The 22,155-nt window shown below is 36.5% G+C and overlaps 1 long non-coding RNA gene across 1 annotated transcript in view, besides 2 other annotated features; it reads left to right on the top strand.

Annotated features, from left to right (window-relative positions):
- LOC124903323 (uncharacterized) overlaps positions 1-19,756 on the top strand; it is a 63,861-nt gene extending 44,105 nt beyond the window's left edge. The window contains exon 2 of the long non-coding RNA XR_007064191.1: positions 18,996-19,756. This is a non-coding gene — a long non-coding RNA (uncharacterized LOC124903323). The remainder of the gene's footprint in view (positions 1-18,995) is intronic.
- Positions 7,952-9,411: an enhancer, noted in NCBI's record as "VISTA enhancer hs1218". NCBI's record gives its function as "enhancer in: midbrain (mesencephalon)[7/7]" and the evidence as "EXISTENCE:transgenic organism evidence [ECO:0001131][PMID:17130149]".
- Positions 18,853-21,290: an enhancer, noted in NCBI's record as "VISTA enhancer hs1150". NCBI's record gives its function as "enhancer in: eye[8/9]" and the evidence as "EXISTENCE:transgenic organism evidence [ECO:0001131][PMID:17130149]".

Raw genomic sequence — 22,155 nt, 5'->3', positions numbered from 1 at the left:
AACAACTTTTGCAAACCAGAAGAGAACAGATGAAGTAACAAGCTATTTTGGAAAGAGGTATCTGCTTGTCCTTGCTAGTCATTTTTTTTTCTCAAATTTCTTTCTCAGAATGTACCTACAGAGCATTTTCTGCTTAGTAACAAATCACCATTTTTAAATAAAATGTATGAAATGTTTTACAACATGGAACAACTAGAAACTATTTCTCATTCATCATAACCTTTCCATCTTGCCTACATTGTTTGAGTTGCACCACCATAAGAGTTGGACTGGTAGAAAAGTTTTGATTTTTAAATGTTTAGACTTCTAAATAAACAATCTCTACTCTTACAAAGACAGTAGTAACAAAGAAGGTGGAAAGAAAGTATTAAACTCATAAAATATGTAATACAAAGACTGACATAAGGTCAAACATATGCTATAACAATAAATGTAAATGATATGAACATCCAAATAAACTTAAAAGAAAGCAAACCCCAACTTTATGTAAAATATTAAATATTTCTTATCATCTATGCTAATATCAAAATCTGAGTAAAATGGACCATTTCCTAAGACAATATAAGTCTACAAAACTAGATTTCTTTTTTCATTTTGAAATGGAGTCTTGCACTGCTACCCAGTCTGGAGTGCAATGGCGTGATCTTGGCTCACTGCAACCTCTGTCTCCTGGTTCAAGCGATTCTCCTTGCCTCAGCCTCCCATGTAGCTGGGATTACAGGTGTCCACCACCACACCTGGGTAATTTTGTTGTATTTTTAGTAAAGACGGGGTTTCACCATGTTGGCCAGGCTGGTCTCGAACTCCTGACCTTGTGATCCACCCACCTCGGCCCCCAAAGTGCTGGGATTACAGGCATGAGCCACTGCGCCCGGCCCTCTTTTTTTTTTTAACTGATAGAAAACCTATCTAGCCACCACAAACTGGTCAAGGAAGTACAACTCAAAGGCCAGGACCAGGCTTTCCATGGACTGAAATAATTAAATCATTTAATTATATCAGAGTTAAAGGAAATAATTCTTCTTACAAAGGCAGTAAAACAGTGATGCTAGAGGTTTGCCACAATGGCACAGAAACAAACAAAAACTACAGGCTAATCTGACTAATGAATAAGATTTCAAAATACCAAATGGGGGTAATTCCAGACTTCTGAGGAGTTTCACAATATAAATAATAATATAAAATTTGTTAAGAGATTTTACTATATAAATAGATCAGAGAATTTGAACCACAGGATGATTTCAATATTTGCAAACAAAAATAAAAAATCTTAACTTTTTAAAAGATATAACTATAGTGGTAATAGAATAAAACTTAAAAAAAAAACTTTTTAAGCCATATTTTAAAAACATATATTTATCTGTGTATCACAAACTAACAGCCAGTACAGCACTTAATGGTGAAAAACTAGAAGTAGTCTCATTAAAGTCAGGAACAAGACGAGAGTACTTGTTATCACCACAGTTATTTAATGATTGTTCTGGAAGTGCTCACCAATGTAATTAGATGAGAGAATGAGATAAGAAGCATAAATATTGGGTAGGAAGAGGCAGAAGTGTCATTATTTGCAGATTATAAAGATTATAGTTTTTAAAAACCCAAGTGAATCAACTGAAAAACTACTAGAAATTTAAGAGAATTTAGTAGATTATCTGGTTAAAATATGAACACAAGTAATAACTTTCTCATTTGCCTATAAAAACTAGTTAAAAAATTTAAACTTATGAAGTAGTTTCCTATTCACACACACAAAAATAAAAACCAGAAATGTGTCTGCTTTATATTAAGGAAGTTATAAAACCCTACAGCGAGCACATCAACCCCTTTAGAGGACATGGTGGTTCATACCTGTAATCCCAGCTACTTGAGAGGCTGCGGTAGGAGGACCACTTGAGCCCAGCCCAGGAGTTTGAGACCAGCCTGGGCAACATAGAAAGGTCCTATCCCAAAAACAAACAAACAAATAAAACATACAGAGGACACTGATAAGTGTGAAAAGAAAAACTTAAAATGTCATTACAGACTAAATTATAGGCCAGGCACACTGGCTCATGCCTATAACCCTAGCACTTTGGGAGGCTGAGGCAGGCAGATCACTTGAGGTCAGGAGTTCAAGATCAGCCTGGCCAACATGGCAAAACACCGTCTTTACTAAAAATACAAAAATTAGCCAGGCATGGTGATAGGCACCTGTAATCCCAGCTACTTGGAAGGCTGAGGTGGGACAATTGCTTGAATCTGGGAGGCAGAGGTTGCACTGAGCAGAGATCATGCCACTGCACTCCAGCCTGGGCTACAAGAGAACCTGTCTCAAAAAAAAAAAAAAAAAAAAAAAAAAAAAAGAAAAGAAAGAAAAACAGCAAAACTCACTAAACGATAAATATAATACAAAAATAAATTCCTGGCTGGGCACGGTGGCTCACACTTGTAATCCCAGCACTTTGGGAGGCGCAAGGCAGGCCCAGGAGTTCAAGACCAGCTTGGGTAACATAGTGAGGCCCCTGTCTTGAAAAATAAATAAATAAATAAAACAAAAACAAATTCCTAATAGGCCTTTTTTGAGAAACGTGACAAAAATGATTCTAAAGTTTATCTGTAGAATTAGCATGTGAGAATAACCAAAGCAGAGTTGTGAAATAAGAATATTAGAAAATTAATTTTATTAAAATATGTATCTATATTATAAATTTATAATATATAAATTGAATCTAAATTGGTAATTTTAATGAATTTTTAATTAGGAATTAAAAGTGTGATCATGGTCCAGCAATAGATCAAAGTAACAGAGCCCAAAATCCAGAAATAAATCCAAATTTACAAGGAAACTCACTATATGAGAAGGATAGATCATCCTTCTCCCTGAATGGCAAAAAGATGAATCATTTTATAATTATATTGAGGCATTTGGCTCAGGCTAAATACATAGGGGTCATTGTGATAGTTCCCTTTTCCTCCCTAAAAGCCCCTCCATCTATCTGCAAATCCTACTGACTGCCTTCAAAACACACTCTGAATCTGATCGCTTCTTGCCACCTGTGCAGCAATCAGCTTCTTCACCACCTGCCCGGATTTCTGCAGCTTCCTAATCAATGTCCTGGTTTTTCTCTTCCAGTGATCTTCTCCACACTGCAGTCAGGCTGGTCTTTCAAAAATGTAAATCAACTCATGCCATTCCCCTTCTCAAGGCCTCCCAATAGCATCCCATCTCACTAAAGAAAAACATCCCACCTCCTTACACGTGCATAGACCCTCCCAGAATTCATGGCCCCTGCCTAGCTCTCTGACCTCATCACTTCCCTCTCTCTCCGCTCTAGACACACCAGCCTTCTAGAAGCTCTTTCTTGCCTCAGATCCTTGGAATTTCTTTTCTCTCTGCCAGAGTGCTTCTCCTAGATCTTCAGATGGCTCACCCTTCACATACTTCATGTTTTCCTGTGAAAATGTCCACTCTGCAGAGGCCACGCCTTGCCATCCTATCTAACGTACTACCTTCCTGTCACCCTCTGCTTCATCTTCATTGCTCTATCACTCCCTAGATTGTTCCTTCAGATAGCCTTGTTTATCATCTCTCTCTCCCACTAGATTGTAAGCTCTATGAGGACAGGGACTCCATCTGTTTTGTTCACCAGTATAACCCAACCCCAGTGCATAGCACAGTGCTTTAGGACATGGTAGGTGCTTAATTAATATTTGTTGAACAATGAATTGCAGTGGGTATAGAGAAAAATGTAGTTATTTAGGAAGTAGAATTAATAGGACTTTGTGACTTATTCAATGGAGGAGTGAAGGTAGCCTGAGGGAAGGACCTAAGGATAATTCTAAGTTTCTGGACCAGGTAACTAAAGAAATATTGCATCATTCTTATGTTGGGAAATTCAGAGCGAGGTTATTCAGACTATTTTGCCCATTTATTAATTAGAGAAATGGCTAATTTTTACCAGTTTGAGGAAGAATATGATGGGCAAAGCATAGTTTCAGAAAAACTTTTGGCCGGGTGCGGTGGCTCACACCTGTAATCCCAGTACTTTGGGAGGCCAAGGTGGGAGGATCACGAGGTCAGGAGCTCGAGACTAGCCTGGCCAATATGGTGAAACCCCATCTCTACTAAATATACAAAAATTAGGCCAGGCGTGGTGGCTCACACCAGTAATCCCAACATTTTGGGAGGCAGAGGTGGGTGGTTCACGAGGTCAGGAGTTCAAGACCATCCTGGCCAACATGGTGAAACCCCATCTCTACTAAAAATAAAAAAATTAGCCGGGCATGGTGGCGTTTGCCTGTAATCCCAGCTACTTGGGAGGCTGAGGCAGGAGAATCACTTGAACCCAGGAGGCAGAGGTTGCAGTGAGCTAAGACCGCACCACTGCACTCCAGCCTGGCAACAGAGTGAGACTCCATCTCAAAAAAAAAAAAAAAAAATTAGCCAGGCATGGTGACATGCACCTGTAGTCCCAGATACTTGGGAGGCTGAGACAGGAGAATTGCTTGAACCCAGGAGGCGGGGGTTGCAGTGAGCTAAGATCAAGCCATTGCACTCCAGCCTGGGCGACAGAGTGAAACTCCATTTCACAAAAAAAAAAAAAGAAAAACTTTTTATACTTTCTGTGCGATTTTTCTGTAAACCTAAAACTCCTGTAAAAGACAAAGTGTAATAAAATTTTTAAGAATGGGGCTGTAACATTTACCTCCCAGTGTTGCTAAGGAAATTAAATAAAATGACACTCAAGAACATGCCTGGAACCTAGGCACTGTTCTCTAGTTTTCCATCAGTCAAATGCCAGTGGCTTAGGCCGTCACTTCCTTTTCCTCCCAAATCTCTTAATGGGGTTCATTTTCCCACTAGTGCTCACACCTAAAACTGTTCACATTCAATATCTGATCATCGTGATCAGTTTCCCAATAAATCCAACTGGTTTTCAAATGCACATGTCTTAGTTGTTGTTTCTTCCCATTACATCACTCTTTTTTAAATTTTAATTTTAATTTTTTTAGAGACAAGGTCTCTTTCTGTCACCAAGTGCAGTGGCACAATCATAGCTCACTTACCCTTGAATTCTGGGGCTCAGGCAATCCTCCTACTTCAGCCTCCCAAGTAGTTAGGACTACAAGTATGCACCATCATGCCTGCCTAATTTTAAAAAAATTTTAGAAGAGATGGGGGTCTTGCTATGTTGCCCAGGCTGGTCTTGAACTTCTGGCCTCAGTTGATCCTCGTGCCTTAGCCTCCCAAAGTGCTGGGATGACACACGTGAGCCACCATGCTGGGCCTCCTTTTCTTTTTCTAACCATGATCATCTCAAGTTATGTGTCCTTGAGGCAGTTGGGGTGCGGGGGGTAGGAAGTGTGGGTCAGATTGTCTGCATTGATATCCCAGTGCTGCCGTCTTGCACGGTGAGACTGTGAACCAAGTGATAAATCTTTCTCTGCCTCAGTTTCTTTATCCGTTCATTGGGAGTGATAAAAAATAATGTCTCCACGTGTTTTTTGACAATTAAATGAGGTGACACATGTAAAGCACTTAGAACGGGAGCAAGCACATAGTTAATTTTAAAAATTAACATTATTTTCCTAAATAAGTATTTAAATGTTGAAGCTTTCTTCTTTATTTCTGCAGTTTCCTAATTGATGTCCTGGTTTTTCTCTTCCACCAGTCTTCATACTTCTCCAGGTTGGTCTTTCAAAAACGTAAATCAACCAATGCCATTTCCCTTCTCAAGGCCTCTCGATAGCATCCCATCACACTGAAGAAGAACGTCACACCTCCTTATAAGTGCATAGACCCTCCTCACATGCCTGGCCCTTGCCTGGCTTTGCCCACAGCTACATCTATGCTGTTGGGAAAGAGATGTGTTCTTCCATCCACATCCTGGGTAAACACTGTAATTTTTTCAAGCAGACAGCAAAGATGTTGAGTGTGAGTTTTTCTGCTGGCATCAGTCAGGTGTATGTTAGATTTGCCCAATGACTAGATCCGCTCTTCGGATAAGATCATTGCCATCACTTAACCAGGTCTGCATTTTTGGCGTTTTATTAAGTAATGCAACAGCCTTCTACATATTGAAAATGTCTTCTATCTGTTGTCTCTTTTTCGGGAAAGAAATAAGGATCTTTCTGATGGAGAGTGGGATTGCTTTTCTCTGTTCCTCTCTCACCTCCATACCTTGTCCACAGCCCCCTGAGCTCCCTGGAGTCCAATAGAACTGCCATCCTCAAAAAGTGAGCTACATGAGAAAATGCGTGCTCATTATATTTACATTCAGCACGTCTAGATCAGCAGCTTCATCTGGGACTTAGACCTACAACGTTGGTGATGCAGACAGCCAGATATTTAGTCACATCAAAGCAATTTGCTAATTGCAGATGCCTCCTCTCTGTTTAATGTTTCATGTGTAAGATTAGGTGGTTGATTTAACTGGTTCATAGTGCCTGTTTTATCTCATTAGCTATCTCTAAAGGAAATCACATCATATTAAATATAGACAGAGGACATTAATTATCTGGAAAACATAATAGTATAACCTGTATATGAGTATGACAGGAAGGATTCAAGTCACTGTTAATTTCCTAGCATTTTAAGTATATGAGAAGTTGTATATACATACATGTTAATCTGCAAGAGTATTCCATATATGAGTTATGCATCTGTGCATGTTAATTACAATATTTACACTCAACATATAATTATCAATTAAACTATATACATATATTATTTTAGCATAGATGAATAGATAATCATTTATAAGTTAAACTAGGAGTTCCGAAGCTCCAGGTTATTCTCATGATGTTTTCCATCTCTTTTATCTTTTGTACGTTTTCAACCATAATTCTAGCAAAACATGCAGATAGCTTTAGCACTGCTCCAACTATCTTTTGCTCTATATTCCTGGCTCAAGCTTTATTTCCATGGACTCTATCTGACCTTTTATTAATACCTGGCATAGGTATGCAATTGAAACATTTTTACCTGAGATCAAAGCAGCGTGATCATATTTAAGAGAAAAAATAGTCATAAAATTTCCAGAGAAAAAAGAATGCAACGAAATATGTAATATAAAAATCCCCTGTGATATTAGTATACCCCCCAAAAGTGTTCAGCATAGTGAACCAGGTTCTTGCCTAGGTTTAGCCTCTAATAAGACCTAGTGCTTGTATTATTTATACTGCCACCCCACCAGCGTATAGATACCACGATAGCCAATAAGGACTCCTTAGGGGACGTTTATCATGTCACTGAGCTCTGAATTCACAGAGCTTTACCAAGCACATCAGCCACTGAGGATTATCAAGGAAGGAATTCTTCGTTTAAATGCTCCCCACTATTTTACATGATAGATTATAGCAATCTTTATATCATATTAATTTTGGAGTTTTTAAATCTCTGAAAATACATGAAGACAAATACAAACAAGAGCGCTATGAGACACTGTTCTCCCTCTATCTGTGTCTCCACTCCTACTACTAAAGCAGTGAGTTATTTCTACAAACTCTCAGAATCTTATATTCTAGCCCGAGGGCTTGCATGCAGATTCAAGAGAGTCACTTGTGTTTCTCAGTCTTTATCTTAGCAATGGGCTCAGAACTACATGAGCATTAGCAATGCCCTGGTCCAGTTGGACAGATCTTTTCTACTCTGATTCATGTTTTTGCCACAAGGATTAAGAAGCATTGCACAGATATTGATATTTTAAATCATTTTCTTAATAAGAGAAACTAGTATAAGAGAAATGAGTATAAGTATGTTCTCAGTGCTTATATCTTACAATACATTTTTGTCATGCAACTAACATAGTTCACTTGTAGAGATCAACGTACCTCAGAAGACACTCTTTGATGAGGCCAGGTGCAGATCCCTCCGAATATAAAGCAGTATAATGTAATGATGCTCCAATCCACTTAATTACAGAACTTATCAAAGTATAAAATTATAATAGCCACTGAACACTTCTTTCAATCAGAAAAGATCTACTCCCCAGAGTACAAAGGTAATGGCTATACTATAAAGTTGTCATTTCAATGGAGTTTTACTTTCCACCCAAGGGACAGGGCATTCATCATGAACATCCTCCATGCCAAGCAATCACAGCATCACTGATCACCTTTTGCTCGGGCCCCATATATTGCAACTATTCCAGTTGTGCCATACCTGGCAGAGCAGATTCTGCAGATCCTAACCTCTTGTTGAGACTAAAATAATTTCTTAAACGCACGATAGCTACATAACTCTCCCAGCCATTTTCTGAACCACGATTTTTCTCATTTTGCTTCCTTTGTGTTCCATTCAAGGTTTTCCTGCGCTGAGACAATCTTTTACATTTTTTTCTTCTTCTGCCTGCATCAAAGTTAAGACTTTGTTAGGGATGCTTTGCTATCGGCATCTGTTACCTCTTTTTCTTAGGGGCTAAGGAGAAGGCTGCTGTGTGGCTGAAAAAGACTCTCATTCAGTTTGGAATTGCCTCCCTTTGCTTTCCTGTCACACTGTCAAGCTCAATCAGAACGCAATGAAAGTGATACAGAGGCGAGGCTTTGCTGGCGAGACTTAGAACAAAGACAGCTCCATAGCCTAGTACAGATTTCACATCCAATTTAACTCTTTGGAAAAGGATTTCAGGAAATACATAGTCAAGAGTTGAAAAAATGGAGTTGGGTCTACTATAAAGGCTAAAAGTATTATCCTGGCTTAGATAAGCTACAAAGATAGGTTGATACTATTTTCTAGCATAAACCACATTAGCCGGCATTACACATTGAGCTTTCTTTACTCGTTAAGTTGCAAGGAGATTTGAGAGGAATTTAGCAGCTACATAAAATGACTCTTTCATGATTCTAGCTTTACCAGTCATTTTAGTTGTACAAGGTGCATGAATAGCAAGGACCTAAATCATGTTGTTTAACAAATCTGGTATTAGAGGGTTAGTCTCAGTTTACTTATTAAGAATTTAGTTGAGTAAAGGATTTTAGGACTCAGTTCTTTGTGTAGATGACAATGAACGGCCCAATACTTGTATTTTTGGGGGAAAACATACATCAGCTACACATGTTTTGAACTGTGCTGTTGGACCCATAACTAATATATTGCACTGAATATATTTTTCTGCAGGAACTAACTGTAAAGAAGAAACTTCATTGAGAGGGACATAGGTCAATGGTGACTTACTTCAGTGGCCTCTACTATTACTTCCTTTCTGAAGCCTAGTTTCTACTTGTTCTCTGTCTCACAAGAGACTCAGTTTAATTCTCTGAATTTTTCAAACTGAGGTCATGACAAACTTGGTTTAATTCTCTGAGCTTTCAAACTTAGTTAATGATTCCATTTGGAAGAATCATGGCCCTCATTTTCCCTTGATGGATTTGAAGCATACTGAAAACTGATTCACAAAGCACGTAGAATCTTGAACATTCTATACAGCAGCAGTAATGTTAATGAAATAGTGAGGAGAACTCATGCAGTTTAAAATAACTATTTTTATAATAAATTCTTTAAAATTGGTATGGTCATAGATATTGTCAAATATTTTAATGTTTGGTATGTAGGCCAGAGGAGGTATTTTTTCATGTTTGTGTACTTTATCTTATTGAAAATAGAACACATTTAAGTAACTTTATATACACTTACATATGTAATTTTATATATACTCAGTGAGAGAAAGAAAGAGATTGAGAGAGTCTGAAGTTAGTTTACATACACAATTGCATTTAAGGGAAGTGCATTTCAAATGACTAGTACCATATCATCATATTAAAGAAGATATCTCTTTGGAAAATTTGTCATGAACAAGAGATGATTAGAAGCAGCATATGATAGACAACAACATTTCATCTCTGCATGCAATTATGGTACAAATTAGAAATGCTATTATGTTGGTGCTCCATAATTAAGTAAGCAATTAAAAACAAAAACAGTTCATTAACAAATGTCATAGCTATGCCGACAAATGCCCAGTGAGGTCACGGTCACAGCAATTGCACGAGATGATGACTAAGTCTTCCCAAGAGCAAGAGTCTCCACCAACAGCGTTGGTTCTATTTCTAGTGCGTGTGTTATATAAATAGCAATTTGGGCTGGAAAAACTGAAATAAACATTGCAAGCAAATATAGAGAGGAGGCGAGCTGTTTGTGGTAAGTTGCTTATGCCATTTGTTGAGTATGACTGGAAACCAAAATGAAATTTTAGTTTTATTCAAAAAATAAAAATAAAATCTCTGTTGATACTTAATATAGCTGTGGTAATTTCCTTGCAAGTCTTCAGCCTGTTGGCTCACAGTCTCTTTGCCATTGAGAAACTTATGCTCTATCTTAATGAAGACAGCAACTAGAAATTAGCAGTTACTGGTGGTGGCTGTTAGATCTACCTATTTGCATGGATTTTTTTTAATGACCATCGGTTCATAAGTATTTTCATTTTTTGAAAATGTTTTCCATTATTTCAGGAGAAACCATACAGTGTCACATGAAAAAGTTATATCAACAATGAACAGGTTTGATAAATAAAATGCAGGGGGAAAAAAGTGAAATGGTTAATCCCTGTACTAATTATTTGTCCCATTTTTGTTAATACAAATTAAATGTTTCACTTGGTTAATGACAAGTTTGATCAAACAGTTCATAAACTGATGGATTGACTTTGAAATGAATTCAGGGAAAAAAAATGACATGATGTGGAGCTGGCAAGGGGCCGCCTCTAGTGGGAACAGATGCCCAACAAATTTGGCGAGTAGTTTTGTTCTCTTCTATCTGTTGCAGTTCACAATCCTAATGAATGTTATGTTTAAATAACATGAATAAAGATAAAGTGAAAATGAATTCAACTCCAGTTTGAGCAGCAGAATAAAAATGAGCAAACTGTATTATCTTCTGCCACCTAATCTGGGTTGAATTTCCTCTGTATCTTTTTTGTTTGTTGAAGAATCCTTTTCTTGAGTCTCCTTGGCCATTGACAAGGTCTTTTGAGATGAATATGAAAAGATAGATTTAAAGGTTAAGGCCAGGGTCAGATGGTTGCAGATGTTTTGTGAGAGATTGTTCGGTTCAGTTTGTGGTACTTCTCCTGACTAAGGTATTTCAAACAGGCAGACTCATGGCCAGCAACTGTCGATGAATGTTGTTTGTCTCACAATTGATCCATGCAAACACAAACACAGAGTAGAAAGAGTGTTTGTTTTTTCTTAGGCAGATAATTTTCCCCCAGCCCAAAGACTTTGTCTGAAACCAGAGAAGACACTATTTTTATTTCTAGAAAGTAGGACTTTTTAGGTTTGGCTCTTCAGATGATCAGCTGAGACCATTTTTCAGGGGATAAATAATGGCACCATGTAACAGAAGTTGATTAGACTGTAAAAGGTTGCAACGTTTTTGGAGAGGAAGTGAAAGGAAGTAGAGCTTGGACATTGAAAGAAAAAAGATAAATGAACTAGTCTCTTATCTCCTGACTTCAAATTCTAATTAACAAAAAATGTGGAAATAAAGGGACAGAGTTCATGAAAGTCACGCTGATTGCCATTGGGATATTTCATTATTTGATAGATTTAGATTGAATCATCTCTCTCCATAAGGGAGGTTAGAATACATAGATGTGTATATATGTATAAAATGTGTATGTGTATACACACAATATATGTATGTGTGTGTGAATCTGTTAAATTATGTGTATATATATTATATATACACACATATATTTGTGTATGCAGTATACACACATATATACACATATACATATGTGTGTATGTATATAATATGTGTGTATATGCACACACACACACTCACACACACAGATCCTCTTAACAGTCAGATGGCATTAGATGTAAAGTATTTCCTCCAGGAATGTCTTAAGGGTTTTCACTTTAAGAATTTTTATTTACTATCTCCATAGGTTTATAAACATGATTAAAACATTTCCATGGGCCATTTCCCATTCCCTTCCCTTGAGTGTTTTAACATTTAAGTTATGAGCATTGAGAGCCTATAGTTAATTGACTAAGGCCAATGGGATGGTTCCTTTCCACAATATACAATTCAGAACAATTTAGATAGGGATGTTTTCTTTCTTAGATCTTGTAAAGATGGCTTTTAATTAACATATATTTTGGAACATTCTATGTAAAAATATCTAGGATGTTGAAAAATACAAAGGACTATGAATTTTTTAGTCAACACGCTGAGAGAAAGCTTTTATAGCTTTTACTTTCCTAGCATCTATTCACTATCAGTCCTTCACATTTACATTCTTCTGAATTTTATGCTGCATAATGCTACCGGGAAGACTGTGTTTATTATTCTGACATGATTCTTTGTGAAATAGGTGCTTGATAAGGATTATTTTTAAAAGACCAAAAGCCCCTCAAGTGATTACTCTCTCAAACTTCTTGTAAAGGAGGACAGATAGTGATCCTCACCACCACCGGAGGCAAGTCTAGAATTTTCCAATGTTTTAAATGTTTGCATGCCACACAATATCATCAAAAATTTTTTTTTTGCTAAGGTGAAAAATTAGATTTTTTTTTGTACCTGAGGCCTGTTGCCTGTTGTTCTTTAGAACATTTAGTTACATTTCAAATAACACAGTAAATTTCCTGATCATTCCTATACATTTGGATCACTGAAGAATGTGGAAGCTTACAAGAATTACAAATAAAATAATTTTTTATGCTTCTTCTTATTAAAACTGAAGGTGTTTGAAAATACAAATGGAAATTTAATTTGCAAACCGTCTTAATGCTATGGATACACACATAAAATATATGAAACGTTTCCTATTAAAGGGATTCAAGGATGTGTATTTCACTATTTCAGATGATACGATGAAATTATTATCTTTTTACACAATAGTCTTCATTTCACTACCTTATTGAACTAAATTGTTTCACTATAGGACACCAAGTTTTAAAGATTGGGATTTTAGTAGAGAGCGTGTTAGCTCTACAACTTTTGCACACAAGTCAAATGTTATTTGAAATACATATTTCACTTTTTTTGGCTATTCTGAAACCAAAAGAAAAAATTTACAGAATCCAAAAGAAAATCTCACAATAAAAACAAAGAAAACCATATAAGTTATAGTTCCTGCAAATGTTGTTTTAAAAAGCTTTATTTAAAGCTGCTTCAGGATAGTTTTGTGATAAATAGGAATCAATATAATTTATTAATATCATAGTTTTCTAAAGCATGTTTACTAGTTCTTTTCTAATTCACACCCTGCCATCACTCTGTTTTTATATATGTTCCTTTCAAAAGATTTGTCAAACATAAATAAGAACAATTACAGAATAACAGAGCAGGATTATTTCTGAAGAAAAAAAATTATCATCAGCTGTATTTTCATCAGCTATCCTATTAGACTCCATCATTAAGAAAAGTATTCAGGATGTCTAGTGGGTGAAGAGAGCAGAAGTGTGTTTTCATTTTGATATGATAGCTGCATTCAAGTTATTCTCCTCTTTACAATAGATTTTACCTAGCTTTATCTTCATAGGAAGCTGCTTTCAGTTGAAAAGCAGAAGTGAATAGAAGTGTCATGACATGGGATTAACAGTACAACCAGCAACCAGTTAGTAAATCAAATGTTTGAGGTGAAGAAAGTGGAATGTGACATGCATCAGCAGGATGGACTAGCAGGATTTTATGGAGACAAGTGAAAAGAAAAATTTTAATCATTGGTCAATGCTCCTGATATCTGTACCATTTTGAAAACAAGTGGTCCATTTAACCAGTCACTGTAATGAATCTGAGTGCATTAAGATGTTCCCAGCAATGTTAGTTCATATAGAAGTAATAATTATAGAAAAAACTAGTCTGAGTGCTGTGTCTGTGTCTAGCTAATAAAAAAAAAAAAAAAGAAAAAGAAAATTACATCCTAAGACTGAGAAACTGGCCAGTATGGTTCACTTTTGAGATGGCAATATGACTGCAAGAAACCTCATGAGGGGTTTACCCCATGACACCCTCATTATAGTCACTGATGAACTATTAAAAATAACCTTCTCAAATACTTCCCATTACATAGATTTGATATAGTCCTCATAATTAAGATTTTAGAGTTTCAAGAGTGTTTGCCAGCAAGTTATTTGGAGCACTTAAAAATGCATGTTTCAGCACAACCATGGATTTCTTCTCTCCTGGTAAGTATCCACACAAATATGTAAAAACTTAAAATTGGTAATGCTTAAAGATTTATCTGGGTAGCTTGGGTGAGTAGCTAAAAGGTTAATTTAAAGGCTTAGTAAAGGATATTTCCCATCACCATCTGTGTCTTCACATGAAAATATGTTTAAATTCCACACAGTCTGGCATTCACTTCATAACTCCATATTTTTTGGTCTCCATTTTTTCACAGCACAAGTTTCTCTAAGAATAGAGTTAAAATTCTAATGTGCCTAATATTTACTCAAAACTTTGTCTAAAAAAAAAAGAATTCACACAAAAAAGCCCATTAAATATTCACACTTTAATATATGTTCCTTAGAAACAAATGTACAGTTAGATAACACATAAAGAATTATGAATGACTAATTATATTTTGCATATTTACAGCAAAGACAATTAGCAAATCGCTTTTATATGCAAAATAAATGAAAAAGTAATTAAGATGCACTAACCAGAGCAGCAATATCAAGTCTGTTGTGATTCATTCCTAACAAACATAATAATTATGCATTCATTGTCATATAATTAAAACAGCTCTGTCCTTTAGAAAAATGGTTATTTACTGTATAATAACCTGAAGAGTGGCAGAAGTTCCTCATAATGGTGAGCAGGATAATTAAATATTTCTTCTCGGGAAATGCTCACCCAGTTTAGTTTATTATCATAAACTTCTACCAGCAAGCAGCTGTTCCTCAGGAATGCCAAGTGTTTTCTCTCTTGTCTGGGAAAGTTATTTTCCATTTTATTCATCAGCTCTCATTTTTTTTCTTGTTGTTGAATTGGGCAGGGGTGCTCCTGAGGCACCCTTCACCTTCCTAAGGCTGGTCCTCCTGGAGGCCATCCCTAGCTGCAGAGGGCTGTGGGAAGCAGCTTCAAGACCCAGTTCTGTGGCTAGATCTGCTTTTGGTGATTAAAAATGTGTAATGTTTGCCTCTCTGCTGAAATATATTGTCTTTTTGAAGATCTTCTAGGACTTTTTCATCACTAAGATAGACATAAATATGCAAATAAACAAACAAATACAGTAACATCCAGTGTTTATCATGTTAGGTAAGCCACCTGCATTTTAGAAATATAGCAACAAATTTCAAAATGATCAATACATTTGATATTTCAGCTAATTAAAGTGATATAAACTGTCCTCTGCATTCCACATAAATAGATCACGGGAGCCATTTTGTTTCCCCAAAGCTGAGAACACGTTGATATCTGTGCCCAGCAGTTACACCATCGCCTATTGTTCACTCCTGATATAAGCACAGTGCCTACACAAGTACATGCTGTAATGCAATCAGAAATTACTCAAGCAGGAGATATACATTATTTTGTGTGTATTTGGTGTGTTATCTTAATATTGATACTATTATGTCATCATGTATATACACTCAACGAAATTAACTTATTTTTATAATAAAATCTTGTGTCCAGTGGAATGAAGAGAACAAGAGTAAATGGGAAGAGAAGTATTTGTTTATGAGTTACTGCTTGATTTAAAAATATAATAGGAACTTTAAAAATTATTATATATAATACCTTAGATATTAGGAAAGGATAAATCTTAAGTAGAAAAAAGTAATTATTAATTAAAATTTTTCTTATTAAACATACGTTGTATGAAATGATGTAACATTTAAGTTTTAAGACATTTTATTTTACATATTACATAATTTTTAGTAACATTAAATGTAATACTCAACCTCAGAGAATAAGAAAATAAATGATTTGTGTTAGGTTTTATCATAAATGATTTGTGTTAGGTTTTATCATTTGACTTTATTATATATTGACAACTAATTATTTTAGCAATTACTGAGCTACCATTCCTTTCTTTATTAAGTTCAATAAACAAGTAGTAGACACTAAGCCCAACATCGTCTTTTGTATATTTTTTTTTCAAGAAGAATCTTTATTTTTCTTTTCTTTTTTTTTTTTTTTTTTTTTTAGTGTGTAACTTAAAGAGCCATGGCCTTACTTGAAACAGTTTACTCAGAATCATTTAGATATTTTCTAAGTATTCTTCACTATAAGCTCCTTTTGGCATGCGATAAAATGAAAATGGGCCAAGGAGAACCTAGAGAGAAAATACTTATTCCTTATCCCTGTGTTACATTTGGGAGAACTTAAACAGACCTCAGAATACTGAAAAGAAATAATTGCCCTGAAGTAAAACTGGTTAGTATGTTATTAGAGATCCTCTATGCTAGCAACAGAATTTGGGAAAATAGAAAGAAAATAGAACTGGAATTCATAGCACGACATTCAGATAGTTAATTTATTAGTAAAAGGTAGAAGAGACAAACAGCCCCATCTTATATTCTGATGCAAAAATGGTGTAGGATTACCCATTATTAGCACACCGGACACACCAGGAAACGTAAGAGAAAATATTCTAGATTCTATCATTAATATTTTGAGAAATCCTAGTAATCCCAAATTAATTCTAAGTAGTCATGACAGAAAAAAATTATATCTTTACTCCTCCTTACATATCCGTAGTTTAGTACTGTTTTCATTTTTTTGTTACTTGGGCAGCGGAGGAGACAAGGAACACCACAGCTTTTTTCAGCTCTTAGTTCGTATTAAAGGTTTTCATGTAACCCTATATACATATGTATTTCATCTAATTTAAATTCCTACTAAGTATGTCAGTAATCTTCCATCTTGCAACTTTAAAGAATAGGGTTATTCACCATTATAGCAGGAATATCAGTTTATGTATCTGCTATGACAGATAGTAAAGATGATCAAACATTACACTAACTCTTAATAATGAGCTTGTTTCTCCCTTCAAGGAACAAAGTTCATAAGGGTGGGAGATGAGAAGGGCCAAAAGGTGAATGTATGCACCTGTTTGTGTGCCTCTTGTCATCCTTCCTTCCCAGAGTACATACTTCTCAGCAAAATGGGAGGTAAGAAGACTAAGCCTCAACTTTCAGACGATCCTCTTTAACCACATCAAGAAACCCATAATTATTCAAAATTTACAATTCATTTTGTAGTTGCTATCTATACCCTTCAATCTGGAGCCTAGTCATCCACCTTGCATTAATTATTTTGTGTATGCATATCATGTGCACCCAGCCAGACTGTTGAATGGAAGATCCAGAGAGGCAGAGACAGCACTCTTTTTTGGTATAAGTATTCCACACAGTACATGAGATGTGGCAGTTGCTTGATAGATGCTGTTGAATAAATACTTCCATCACACATTCAACAGACACACACCAAACGGTCTTTGCCCCTTATTAAAATAGTGTCAAAGAAGAAATATGCCCCCGTCTTTATGTTATTTATCTCCTACCCTGCTCTGTTTCCTATCCTACATACATTTGCAGTTTCCATGTATCTTACTGAAATACATATAACCCCAGCTATATATTTTGTTATGTTATGATGCATATGGAATAGAGCCTCAATCGTCACGAAGTGACTAATGGACAGCTGATTGAATGAATGAATGAATGACATAAATATGAGTGGAATGTGCATATGGAGAGTGGAAATACATCTGTCAGCAGATGTAAATGTCTGTTACTCTGTCTCAGCTCTGGCTTATGTGAAACCTAGTTCGGTCATCAATGTCATGGCAGTTTGAATGCTTACATACCAAGCCCATGAACCCTTCCTATGTGTGTATTTTTTAAAATAAATGCTCTGTATTTAGGGATGGAAGATAAGGGGAAGGTTGAAAAAATAACTGTTTCTGCTGCTTCAGGTGCATACTTGCCATTTCAAACTCCCTTTGGCTCTTAGGCCAGGCAGTGCTATGATTGTCGATTTAGAGGGTTCTCTGTTCTCCTGAAGGGCTCAGGTAAAGCTGTATGTACTAAATACTTTGAATCACCATCACTCCCCTGTATGCACTGCAAACAATTATACTGCAGAAAACTTTACTACAAAGAGGCCAAGCTAAATGGAAGCTTTTCAAAATGTTAGTCTTATTACAAAAAATTATTTATAAAGACTCTCTTCCCTCTTTCCCAGGAACTTGACTAAAATGTAATATAAACATACTCATAACTCCAGTATTTACCCGTAAGTCTAATAAGCTAGGGCAAAAAAAAAGACTTTTATAAGACTGGTATTCAAAAGCAGACCAGAAAGAAAGATCCTAGGTAAAGGTAATGAAAATCAACTCAAAGTACATTCTCCATTTCACAGTAAGGCTTAATAAGATAGGTGATGTTCTAGAACTCAGAAACATGAGCATTTTTCTTGCTTACAGCCTTCATTTCTGACTACTAGTTTTCATTGGATTAATGAATCTCCTAAGGAATGAATATGAGCACATGCACACTAAAAGTCCATTTATAAACTCCAGATGATGCCATGTGATAGAAAATTGGCCCTAGAGTCAAGCTGGCCTAGAATGCTTGAAGTGTATAAGACATATGAGTCCTAGAGATTACATATAAAATCTTCACTCCCTTCTTTGCCCAGTAAATCAACAAGCATCTTCCGAATCCCCCCACCTCAGTGTCTTAAGACTCTCCTGAAAGTTTGGTTAATTTGGAAAATAACATAGTCAAGTAAACCCCAGAAAAGCCACTGTACAAGTACGAACAAAAAATGTCAAACTAGAATTCTGATATGAAATCGAGTTAATATACTGAAATTAAACCCAGACCTTTCAATTTTTTTAAAAAAAATTTACATATGTGTTTGTTTTTGGTGGATGGACTCACTCTCAAATACAATTGGTGAATAACCCAGAGGGAGTGTAGGTGTTGCCCATTACCATTGTGGATGCTATGGGCCTGTCAAGACTTAATAAGGGGCTCCATGTTGCATTGTCTCAAACTCCTTAAACTTCTGGGTTCTGGGATTGACTCCTTCCTGTTCCTCATTTATGTCCCAGATCCAGGGGACATGGCAAAAAGAACCTGAATTCATCATGAGGAAGGAACCCATCACAAGGAAGCAACCTATGAAGGCAGCCATTAGGCAAGGGACATCTGAGATGGGCACTGCAAGCATGTTCAAGAAAACACCTCTTCTGCCAGCTAGAGGCTCCCCCGCCCAGTGGAGGAGGAATCAAATTCCACCATCTTTAATCTGGCTACACCATATTTGAATAATAATCCTGAAATTCACATTGATGCTCAAGAAGTCGCTTCTTCAAAACTTTAAGGTAACAATTAAGTATTCCATTGTCATGGCTCAATTAAATGGTTTGGCCTGAGAAAATTGGGGATTGTAAAGTGAGGATGGAATGTGCTTTGATCCTTTTTCCAGGGTTATTGTTTCATTAATAAATGAACATGTCATTTGTCTCACCAGAGGGAGCTCATGCCCTCCAGGCTTTTTTCCCTTTTTTGTTCAGGTTTTATAAAGATGAATTTCCAGTGCTCTGAAATACCATGGATTAGTAGTTAAGCCTGACAGCACTTCGGGGAGTAGCGAGCTTAAAGTGCCTCACACAGGTCTCCAAAGCACTTGTTTACTAATAGAGGAAATCAGCAACCGTCTGCAGCTGCTGATATCGCATTACCATTTGGAAAGACAGTAGCTGAGATAACAAATCACACAGTTTTAATAATTACTCCTGCATTCCCGTTTTTTGTTTCCTGCATAACTGTAAAGGCTGGATTTCTTCCAAATAAACAGATAAAAACAGTATGGAACTTTTATCTTTTAATGATAATGACAACACATCATGTTTCACTAAAAGTTTCCTGCTGAATTTTTTCTGATTTCTAGAGTTTCAATAAAATGTAATTATACTTTATAATTCCACTCTTTTAATCTTCACTTCAAAAACTATTCACAGTGAGCAAGTTTGCCAGGCACCAAGAGTAGGGGACGAACTGCTTGGACTTACCCATGTTGACTATCTCCTGCTTTCTATCTTGGAGTAAACCTGTCATTGAAATTGCATCCTGTACATTGAGCTGCTTTGCATTCAAATTAATAGCTAGTTTAATTTGAATGTAAAATAGCTCCATTTATGCCATCATTTAAAAAAAAAAAGAAGTAAGGCATTTGGCAATGAATGGATGTTTAAGATATGATACATTTGCAACATATTTTTAATCCCAAATTGAACTTATATTAGGATGGAGACATTTTAATATCAATAGTTAAGTCATAAAAGAAGCCCTTTTAAAAATCTGCATAGTAAATACATGCTTTAGGGGTCAAAACTACTCATTGTACAGATACAGTGCAGGGTTTAGTTCGTATGGTTTGCGCTGGGTATTTTCTGGCAAATCTGTGCATTGTTACATTTCTATAGTCCAAGGATGGCAATTGATTTTTAAAACACATGCTGCAACTTTATTTGGTCTGTAATTACATGGACTTTATTTGGAGGTCAGTGAAGGAACAACTAAATAGGAAAATGTAGTCTTCCTCCCTTGTGCAATGAAACCATAAAAGTTGGCAGACAGAAAGGAATGCTAAACTTTTTCCCAGAGCTCTGAGTTTGGTTTCCACTGGTCCATGTTCCATTGGGTGATTAGAGAAAGCTTTTTTAAACCCTTACTTCAGAATGATCTTAATTGGTGCAAGGTTGAGCCCTTTCTAGGAGGGGAGGGAAAAGGTTGAATAGCCTTTTCAAGTCACATGAAAGTTTCTAGGATGAATGTACGATAATTAGATTAATAAGTAGCTTAATTTATCACAGCTGAGGATTTCAACAGCCACACATTAGAGCAAGAAAAAAAGATTAGTGTGATTCTAGTTTGTAAAAAAAAAAAAAAAAAAAAAAAATTTACTGAAACTTGATTAACCTTAAACACAAAGTGCCTTTCTTTTTCAGTGTAAATGTCTAACCGGGGGAGGGGCGTGGAGCAGGGAAATCCGGGAGGGGACCTAAAATAATCAGAGAAGTCCTGTTTTATTCCTTTCTGTCTCCCAGTTAATGAGCAGTATCAGGATGCCTTGAACCAACTTTTCCTTTTACGTTTCTTATCCTTAAAATAATGGGCTGACCATAAGCCTGCAGAATCTTAAATTATGTTGCCCGCCCACATCATAGAGATCTGTCTTTTCTGATGTACAGTTTGTCATAAGCAGAGTCACTTGTGTCTGTTGAGAAAAATAAAGATAGTGCCATTGGGAGGACACCATCATTTTGGTTAGTATGTGGCAGGAACATTGAGGCTTAGCTTGTTGGGTGACATCTCTAGTTATCTCAAGGCTGAAAAGCCTGAATTTAGACCCATGCATTCAAAAATCGTAAGTTGCCTAAATAAGGGCAGCAGTGAGTTGAAATGAACAGTATTCATTGATAAAACATGCAAAATCAAGACGATTATTATAATAGCAAGAATAATTGATTTCAACAGGGTTTAAAAAGTCAGATGAGAACTGACACTCAAAAAAAAAAAAAAAAACCATCAATTCAAATTATCCTCCATTGGGATTCTTTTTTTCCATCTTCTCCACAAGTGCACAATAAAGTATTTTGAGAAAAAGGAGAATCTGCTGGACCATCTGATGATCAGATCATCAGGGTGGACTAACGTCAGATTTGATTAACTAACCTTAAACTTCCTGACTTCTGTCTGGCTAAAAACAAAACTGCAATGCCATGTGAAACAAAGCTGCTGGTATCAGCGTTGTTTTGCTATGGAAGAGCCTGGAACGTGAATGTCTGGTACCTGTCAACACTTAACAGTCATCGTGGTTGGGAGGCCGGCTAATGCGAGCCCAGCGGTGGAGCAGGGTTTTGGGCATTGCCCATGTGCCTGCATGGAAAAAATGTGTGGCTGGATGTGGGTAGGCGGCTAAGACACCCTCCAAGTGGAAGGGAAAAATCCAAAGCTAAAATACCAGACAACTTTGGGGACACCAGTACTTCCACAATGAAAATTGTTGTGTGTTCTCTTCAGTCTCCAGAACTTACATTAGAAGCGTCCTGAAATACGTTTGGGTGTGGCCCGTGCACACAGCCCCAGCTACAACATTGAGAAGTTACCTGTGGCCCAGCCAGAGCTACGAGGGCAATGCCAAGGGCACTTGTGCACCAGCTTGTTAGATAAGTTCAGTGACTTGAAACAGCGCCAGAGGTGAAT

Source organism: Homo sapiens, chromosome 14 (assembly GCF_000001405.40).
Source record: "Homo sapiens chromosome 14, GRCh38.p14 Primary Assembly".
Classification (NCBI taxonomy): Eukaryota; Metazoa; Chordata; class Mammalia; order Primates; family Hominidae; genus Homo; species Homo sapiens.
This window is presented reverse-complemented; position numbering and strand designations above follow the sequence as displayed.